Genomic DNA, 7,838 nt, shown 5'->3' with positions numbered 1-7,838 from the left:
TAAAGTATGAAATACTTTGCAAAACGTATGATAGAGTGCTATTTTTATGGGAGGTGACGTAGGTGGTGGCAAAAACAATAGGCTGGGACCCCTTGACCTTGTTCAAATACAGGTTCTGCCATTTGTTACCACTGGCAAGTGTCTTATTCTGAGTCGTGTTATTTCATGTGTAAAATGCAGTAAATAGAGCATTGCATCCAGACACGAAAACCTCCAAAGGAAGAAGGGGGATGTCTCTTCATAAGCTGTTTTGTAAGAGCAAGATGATGTTTCCCAGAAGCATCCAGTGACCTTGCCTCACCTTGGCTAGAACTGCATCCCACCCGTAAAGCAATCATTGGGAAGCGGGGGTGGTATCAACACGGGGAAGGATCCCCAGACAAGATGGTGTCTGCGCCAGCAAAAGACAAAGAAAAAGACTTTTGTATAGTCATTCAACAATGTTCGCTTCAATTTCTACCCTTGGAGTCCTGCTGCTAGGCCAGACCCCTCAATGCTACAAAATACTCCTCCATTCCATGAAGAATTTCTATATATAGTGTCAACAGTCTACAATGTGAAATTTTTTCAATGGATTATTATTTTATTTTTTTTTTGAGACAGAGTCTCACTCTGTCGCCCAGGCTGGAGTGCAATGGCGCAATCTCAGCTCACTGCAACCTCTGCCTCCCAGGTTCAAGTGATTCTCCTGCCTCAGCCTCCCCAGTAGCTGGGATTCCAGGCGCACACCACCACACCTGGCTAATTTTTGTATTTTTAGTAGAGACGGGCTTTCATCATGTTGGCCAGTCTGGTCTCAAACTCCTGACCTCGTGATCCATTCGCCTTAGCCTTCCAAAGTGCTGGGATTACAGGCGTGAGCCACCATGCCCGGCCAATGGATTCTTTTACCTGAAAATAAGTTCTAGCCTTTGGTTCTTCCTTACTAATACATTTAATTATATCTTCACGATTTGTCTTATAGAAACCATTTTAAACTTCCCATAAAAGCAGTAAACTTGCAAAAGTGTGTTGTTGTATAAGAGATACCACCAACTGGCCGGGCGCAGTGGCTCACGCCTGTAATCCCAGCACTTTGGGAGGCCAAGACGGGCAGATCACAAGATCAGGAGTTCAAGACCAGCCTGACCAACATGGTGAAACCCTGTCTTTACTAAAAATACAAAAATTAGCTGGGCGTGGTGGCGCGCGCCTGTAATCCCAGCTACTCAGGAGGCTGAGGCAGGAGAATCTCTTGGACCTGGGAGGCAGACGTTGCAGTGAGTGGAGATTGTGCCACTGCACTCCAGCCTGGGCGACAAAGCGAGACTCCATCTTGGGGAAAAAAAAAAGGAGAGAGAGAGATACCACCAACCTGCCCAATGTGGAGGTGGGAGTCATCACTTTATGGATGGAAGTCAAGATGGGACTTAGCCAATACTTCAATGAGTTCAACAGATTAGCAGAGAGAAAAAGTAGAGTTTTCCATGAAGAAAAAAAATGACATAAGCTAAGTAGGAAGAAGGAAGTAGAATTTTCTACAAAGATAAAGTGCCAACTTTTGTGCAAGGTCAAATAGGATTGCTTGGTGCATGGCAAAAAGCACAAGCAATTAGATCCTAAAATCACACACAGAGCTAAAAGTGAGTTTTCTGCTTATATATAAGAACATTAAGTAGCAAAATGAATGAAAAGCTAGCTAGATTTTGTGACCTATCTTCAAATTACATACTTATTTAGTAACAGAGCTGGGACTGGAAGGACGCTTGCCCAAGTTATTGACTCTTTGAATTCATCTCAATAATGGAAGTGGCTGATGAGTCTTCTCCAAGACCACAATTATTTGGATTTCAGTGGTTCAAATCACATTCCATTTGAGAAATGATGAGAAAAAATAAAAAATAAAAATGGAAAATTAATGCATACTTTTACAGATTCATGTGAAGTTGGACCTCATTTAGTTTTAAACAGTTTATCAGTAATGTTATCAAAGATAAGGCAGGAATTAGATTGATTTATACAAGTAGAATTTTGGATTTCAAGTTGAGAGCAAAACACAAATTTTCTATCATCCATTTGGTTAGAAGAGTGAGCCAGTGCGTCCTGGTCAAATCATTTCCACCTGTTCACAAAAACCATTTCCCTCCAAAATCTTACTCACTGGCTTCCAGCTGCTTGGTGGCCCGAAACGTCCTTTTCAATTGTAAAAATCCTCTTAATAATAGGTTAAGGATGACTCAATCCTTGTACACATGTGAAATCTTCTGTTTCTTTTAAAGATCTTTTGACGGCATGGAGCTGGACAAGAAAGGCTTCGCATTAAGTGAAATTTGAGATGGAAAGAAAAAAGTACACTATAATGCATCTCCTCTTTGATTCAAAAAATTAAATAAATGGGATGGGCGCAGTGGCTCACTCCTGTAATCCCAACACTTTGGGAGGCCGAGGCAGGTGGATCACGAGGTCAGAAGTTCAAGACAAGCCTGACCAACATGGTGAAACCCCGTCTCTACTAAAAATACAAAAATTAGCCAGATGTGGTGGCGCTTGCCTGTAGCCCCAGCTACTCAGGGGGCTGAGGCAGAATAATCGCTTGAACCCAGGAGGCGGAGGTTGCAGTGAGCCGAGATCGCGCCACTGCACTCCAGCCTGGGTGACAAAGCAAGACTCCGTCTCATAAATAAATAAATAAATAAATAAATAAAATCAGTCATGCCTTTCATCAACTTTGTGAAAAGGAAAGAGAATTGGGGGAAAAGGAAAAAAAAAAACAGAGCACATGTTCATAACTGTTTTTGTGCCATGGACTCCTCCAAATAAAGTGTGTAAATGCCTTAAATAAACAACGCAAAGGGAAATTTTACATAGAAATAGTTAACAAAACATTAAAAACAAAAATCTGTGGCCAGGTGTGGTGGCTCACACCTGTAATCCAGCACTTTGGTAGGCCGAGGCAAGTGGATCCACCTGAAGCCAGGAGCTTGAGACCAGCCTGGCCAGCACGGTAAAACCCTGTCTCAACTAAAAATACAAAATTAGCCGGGCATGGTGGCCAGCACCTGTAATCCCAGCTACTCGAGAGGCTCAGGCAGGAGAATTGCTTGAACCAGGAGGCAGAAGTTGCAGTGAGCCGAGATCGCGCCGCTGCACCCCAGCCGGAGCGACAGAACGAGACTTTGTCTCAAAATAAATAAATAAATAAATAAAAACGAGAGGAAAAAGCAGTTTCCCTCCCCATGATAAACAGTTACTTGATATTGACAACTTGGGGCTATGAGTCTAATGCAAACACTATTCTAGGTGGACTAGAGTAACCGGGTGGCTCTTAATAATTAGCAGTATCTGAAGACTTTAGTTGTCCGAAGATGTTCGTTTCAGTTTTTTTTCTAATACCAAAATTTTTGAATAATCTATATAGCAAAATAAACTATGATCTAGTCATATGATGAATGTAGCCATTTAAAAATCACATTCTTGGCCTGGGCACGGTGGCTCATGCCTGTAATCCTAGCACTTTGGGAGGCTAAGGCAGGAGGATCGCTTGAGCCCAGGAGTTAGAGACAAGTCTGGGCAACATAGGAAGACGCCGTATTTGCCAAAAATACAAAAATTAGCCAGGTGTAGTGGCAGGTGTCTGTAGTCCCAGCTACTCGGGAGGCTGAGGTGGGAGGATCTCTTGAGCCTGGGAGGTGGTAGTTGCAGAGAGCCATGATCGTGCTACTGCACTCCAGCCTGGGCAACAGAGCCAGGACCTGTCTCAAAAAAAAAATAAATAAATAAATACATTTTTGAAGAATTTTTAACAAATGGAAAATTGATTATAATATTGAAGGAACAAAGCAGTCTTTAAAGAAGCATACACTTATCAAAAACTCTCGGGCCGGGCGCGGTGGCTCACGCCTGTAACTCCAGCACTTTGGGAGGCTGAGGCGGGTGGATCACCTGAGGTTAGGCGTTCAAGAACAGCCTGACCAACATGGTGAAACCCCATCTCTACTAAAAATACACAATTAGCTGGGCACAGTGGCGCATGCCTGTAATCCCAGCTACTCAGGAGGCTGAGGCAGGAGAATCGTTTGAACCCAGGAGGTGGAGGTTGCAGTGTGCCAAGACTGCGCCACTGCACTCCAGCCTGGGCAACAAGAGTGAAACTCCATCTCAAAAAAAAAAAAAAAAAAAAAAGGAAAAAAGAAAAAAGAAAACCCTCAATTATATAAAATATATATTCCTTTGTTCATTCAACAAGTACTATTGATCTCCTTATATATGTCAGGCTTTCCAACAGATCCACTTTATCCTTCAGAGTTCAATTTAAATAGCATCAGCACAGAGTTTTAAAGAAATATTTCAAGGCCAGGCATGATGGCTCATGCCTGTAATCCCAGCACTTTGGGAGGCCGAGGTGGGTGGATCACTTGAGTTCAGGGGTTCGAGACCAGCCTCACCAACATGGTGAAACCCCGTCTCTACTAAAAATACAAAAAAAAAAAAAAAATTAGCCAAGTGTGGTGGCGCATGCCTGTAATCCCAGCTACTCGGGGGGCTGAGGCAGGAGAATCGCTTGAACCCGGGAGGCAGAGGTTGCAATGAGCCTAAATCACACCATTGCACTCCAGCCTGGGTGACAAAGCTAGACTCCATCTCAAAAAACAAAGCAAAACAAAACAAGAAATATTTCAAACACTGGACTGCATTACCTATCAATCAGTCATTCATTGAGCAACTACTGTGTTCAATTGTGTGTAGGACAAATACACAGAAGATACAGGTGGTGGCTGCCCCAAGAAATGTAAGATTAGTGGGAATCGACAAGTTAGAAGTGTCTTCTGTATGAACTGATGTTCCCTTTTATTTTCTAAAAGGTTTAAAAATGGGGTGAAGTAATAGTAAATAAACTGAAAACGAAAAACGTGCCACACCAAAGAAAAGCAAAATGGGAAAAAAAATCGGGTTTTACAGAATATTCAGGTGGCCACTAGGGGGTGCCAGAATGTTAATACCTTTCAGCAAGTTTCCAGTTTCCCTCGGGTAATTTGAGTTTGGGATTCAATGTAGTTTAAATTGACCGGAATTAACGTTTCTTTTTCCAGCAAAATGGTAAGAATGTGACTCAGGTCACATAGTTCACAGTAGACTGGTGCTATGATTTGAATCTATCCCCTCCAAAATTCATGTGTTGAAACTGGTGGCCAATAGGGTGATATTAATAGGCGGGGCCTTTAAGAGGTGATTAGGTCAGGAGGGATCCTCCTTCACAGATGGGTTTCAGACTCGTCACGCGGCATTCAGCTCCCTTGCCCGTCCGCCTTCTCCACGTGAGGACACTGTGTTCCTCCCCTCCTCCAGAAGATGCAGCAAGAAGGCACCATCTTGGAAGCTGAGACCAGGACCTCACCAGTCCACAAACCTGCTGGCACCTTGATCTTGGACTCCCAGCCTCCAGAACTATGAGAAATAAATTTCTGTCGTTTTTAAACTACCTAGTCTCAGGTATTTTGTTATAGTGGCACCAATGGACTAAGACAATCAAGAATTAGAAATCAAGTATTTATGAGTCTCACGCCATTATTTAGTACCAGGGTCATATTGCTATGCAGAAAAAAAAAAAATCTCCTGGCGGGGCACAGTGGCTCACGCCTGTAATCCCAGCACTTTGGGAGGCCGAGGAGGGTAGATTACCTGAGGTCAGGAGTTCGAGACCAGCCTGGCCAACATGGCGAAACCCTGTCTCTACTAAAATACAAAAATTAGCCGGGCATAGTGGCAGGCACCTGTAATCCCAGCTACTCGGGAGGCTGAGGCAGGAGAATCGCTTGAACCTGGGAGGCAGAGGTTGCAATGAACCGAGATTGTGCCATTGCACTCCAGCCTGGGGGACAAGAGGGAAACTCCGTCTCAAAACAAAACAAAACAAAACAAAAAAACCTCCTATCCATCTAACAGGAACCAATTAGTAAACTAAACAAACAAAAACCCCACAAAAAGTAAAACGACAACAAGAACAAAACCAACCAACCAAACAAAACTTAGAAGTTCGAAAAATACTTAAGAATTAAAAAAAAAAAAAAAAAAAAAGGCTGGATATAGGCACATGCCTGTAATCCCAGCACTTTGGGAGGTTGAGGCAGTAGTCTCGTTTGAGCCCAGTAGTTTGAGACCAGCCTGGGCAACGAAGTGAGACCTCATCTCTACAAAAAAAATTTTAAATTAGCCAGGCATTGTGGTGCACACTTGTAGTCTCAGCTACTTGGAAGGCTGAGGTGGGAAGATCACTTGAGCCTAGGAGGTCGAGGCTGCTGTGAGTGCCTGAGCGAGAGAGCGAGACCTCGTCTCAAAAAAAAAAAAAAAAAAAAGTTTTAATGATATGATTCTGCTTTTTTATCTTAGAAATGTAAAAAAAAAAAGTATGTCTATACATAAAGAAGAACTTAGCAATATATACATCAAATCTTAACAGGGGTATTTGGAGATGGTGTTACCACTGTTGTTGTTTTTCTGAGTTTTCTTTTCCTCTGCTGTATTCATTTGCTGCAATTTCAAGATATCACTTAATACTTACCAGGAGTGTCAGACATGGCATGAGCACTTTATCTAGGTAATGACATGAATGCATAGAAGTGTTCAAAGTCTTCTCCACTCTCAATCTAGCAAAAAAAAAAAGAGGGTAGAGACAAAAAGAGGAAAAAAGACATTTTGTGGCAGATGTTCTGGAATAAGGCTTAGTGGGAGTTTGGGCAGAGGGCTGTGTTAGAAAAATGATTGGGAGAGGAAATTTTAACAGCAACTTTGAACTACATTTTCAATACACTCTGGGGTTTTCTTAAAATGCAAATAAAGGTTTAAACTGTGTTGCTTTTTGTGGCTGGTGCGTTTTCTTTTATAGAAACATGACCTTGAGAATAAGCAACTCGGATTTTGGCTTTATAAAGGTTCAAAAACATTACTGCATTTTATCAAACACAAACACTGCCTCAAATTAGTACGAAAAGTTGGACCATGGCTGGGCGCGGTGGCTCACGGCTGTAATCCCAGCACTTTGGGAGGCCAAGGTGGGCAGATCACCTGAGATCAGGAGTTCTAGACCAGCCTGGCCAACGTGGTGAAACCCTGTTTCTACTAAAAATACAAAAAAAAAATTAGCGGAGCGTGGTGGCGTGCACCTGTAGTCCCAGCTATTTGGGGAGGCTGAAGCAGGAGAATCACTTGAACCCAGAGGCAGAGGTTGCAGTGAGCCGAGATTATGCCACTGCACTCCAGCCTAGGTGACAGAGCAAGACTCCTTCTCAAAAAAAAAAAAAAAAGGAAAAGAAAAGAAAAGCTGGATCATGCCAACAAATCTTGTCCACTTGCTGTTAAATAAAAACACCATTCTCTGCATAATTATTTACCTGCCCTTCATCTACATTTTCATCCTAATATACCTACAATACTGGATCTACGTCTTGATAAAAATGTATTGCATGAAATTTATAAGCTACACTTACTTCATATGTAGGTGTGGTAGCAGTTAAGAAACAATTAAAGATGCTATTTTGGGAAGGCTACTCAGCTCTTCAGTGGAAAACCCATTCACACCCCATTGCAGAACCTCAGCTTTCTCACTGTGCTCGTCTACACCCATACTAAACATGTGTAGGCCACATTTGCTCAGGTGGAAACAAGAGTGTTGGAAGCAGGATGGGGGGAGTGTTGACGGGGGTTGAGAGAAGGTTGGCAGTCCCTCACTTTAGAGACCCTTAAGAGGAGTTTAAGCAGCTCCAACACCAATGTTTTGCAATAAAAGTATTTATCCAAATTTAAAACGTTTGTGCTGCAAACTGATACCATCAAGAAATTGATAAGACAACACACAGAATTGG

General features: G+C 42.5%; 1 long non-coding RNA gene across 1 annotated transcript; it reads right to left on the bottom strand.

The window, feature by feature from the left end:
- Nucleotides 1-1,935: 1,935 nt before the first annotated feature.
- On the bottom strand, nt 1,936-7,031 carry LOC124901434 (uncharacterized). The gene is made up of 2 exons (XR_007059815.1): nt 6,539-7,031; nt 1,936-3,735 (listed from the first exon to the last, which is right to left on the bottom strand). It is a non-coding gene; the product is annotated as an uncharacterized LOC124901434 (long non-coding RNA).
- Between the last annotated feature and the right edge of the window lie 807 nt (nt 7,032-7,838).

Source organism: Homo sapiens, chromosome 6 (genome assembly GCF_000001405.40).
Source record: "Homo sapiens chromosome 6, GRCh38.p14 Primary Assembly".
Taxonomy (NCBI): Eukaryota; Metazoa; Chordata; class Mammalia; order Primates; family Hominidae; genus Homo; species Homo sapiens.
Note: the sequence above shows the minus strand (reverse complement) of the source record. Positions and strands in the feature narration are given on the sequence as shown.